We start from the raw sequence: 1,696 nt of genomic DNA, 5'->3' as shown, positions 1-1,696 counted from the left end.
CGCCCTGGTTCAAGGGATTCTCCTGCTTCAACCTGCCAAGTAGCTGGGATTACAGGCACACACCACCATGCCCAGCTAATTTTTGTATTTTTAGTAGAGACGGGGTTTCACCATGTTGGCCAGGATGGTCTCGATCTCCTGACCTTGTGATCTGCCTTCCTTGGCCTCCCAAAGTGCTGGGATTACAGGCGTGACCCACTGCACCCAGCCATGCCCAGCTAATTTATTATTTTTTGTAGATACGGGATCTCCCTGTGTTGCCCAGGCTGGTCTTTAACTCCTGGGCTCAAGTAGTCCTCCTGCCTCGGCCTCCCAAAGTGCTGGGATTACAATGAGCAACCACACCTGGTCCCATATTTTTGTTTGTTGTTTTTGAGAGAGGATCTTACTTCATCACCCTGGTTGGAGTGTCGTGATGTGATCATGGCTCAGTGTAGCCTCAACCTCCCTGGCTCAAGTGATTCTCCTGCCTCAGCCTCCTGAGTAGCTGGGACTACAGGTGCACACTACCATGCCCAGCTAACTTATGCATTTTTTGTAGAGTCAGAGTTTTGCTGTGTTGCCCAAGCTGGTCTCCAACTCCTGAGCTCAAGCGATCCACCTGCCTCAGCCTCCAAAAGTGTTAGGATTACAGGCATAAGCCACTGAGCCCAGCCCCCATCCTATTTTTAATGGACATTTGAGTGTCCAATGTTTGGCTCTTGCAAACAGTGTGAAGCATAGTTTTTATACTGAGTCCTGGTTTTAAGAGGGAGTGTTAAGTATTCAAGTTAAAAAAAAAAACAACAAAGACTGCTTGTGGCAAATAATAGAAACAAATGAACATTCCACAGATACCTTTGTTCACCCTAAAAATGGCTCCCAGGGTTGGAAGCCCATATGGGAAAGAGGAAAAAAGAAAGAGAGCCCAGAGCCGAGAGTGATTTACAGTTCAGTCTGCCGCCCCTGTTTGCTTCTCCAAGGCAACCCATTGCCCCTCCTTCTAATTTGGCCTAAATCAGTAGCTTTTCAAAACACCTGCTGGTTATCCAAACTGGCCCGTTTAAGGGCTCTGTGATGGATTCATTGTTATGCGGTCAACCAACCAAGATGGGGGAACCCGGGAGGCAGAGCTTGCAGTGAGCCGAAATCGCGCCACTGCACTCCAGCCTGGGCGACAGAGCGAGACTCTGTCTCAAAATAAATAAATAAATAAATAAATAAATAAATAAATAAATAAATAAATAAACGAACCACATCTTCAACTTCAGGGGTTTTGTTTTGCTTGTTTTGTTTTTCTTTAGTAGGCTACATTGTAACATGACCTTACCTCTCCATTGCATTTGCAATATGATGCTGATTGCCTTATTTTCTGACTTCCTCCATTTAGAGTAGTTTTTCTCTGGCTAAAATGTTACTACCCTCTTCTATGACTTCCTCATTTTTGTTTTTGTTTTGCTTTCTATTTTGTCTATGGGTGTACAATCAATGATATTTATATGGCCTGGATAACAGAGGTGGGAACTCATGTGCTGATATCCCTTAGAAACTAGGAGTTTTCAATAGTTAAACAATTCAAGAGTAATTACTTACTTTTTTTTTTTTAGATGAATTTTGCTCTTGCTGCGCAGACTGGAGTTCAATGGTGCGATATTGGTTCACTGCAACCTCCACCTCCTGGGTTCAAGTGATTCTCCTGCCTCAGCCTCCCAAGTAG

The 1,696-nt window shown here is 44.4% G+C and overlaps 1 annotated feature.

The window, feature by feature from the left end:
- Positions 689-1,307: an enhancer, noted in NCBI's record as "OCT4-NANOG-H3K27ac hESC enhancer chr5:76074968-76075586 (GRCh37/hg19 assembly coordinates)". NCBI's record gives its function as "activates a minimal SCP1, AML or CMV promoter by ChIP-STARR-seq in naive H9 embryonic stem cells {active_cell/tissue: H9 hESC(naive)}" and the evidence as "EXISTENCE:reporter gene assay evidence [ECO:0000049][PMID:30033119]".

Source organism: Homo sapiens, chromosome 5 (genome assembly GCF_000001405.40).
Source record: "Homo sapiens chromosome 5, GRCh38.p14 Primary Assembly".
NCBI lineage: Eukaryota > Metazoa > Chordata > Mammalia > Primates > Hominidae > Homo > Homo sapiens.
Note: the sequence above shows the minus strand (reverse complement) of the source record. Positions and strands in the feature narration are given on the sequence as shown.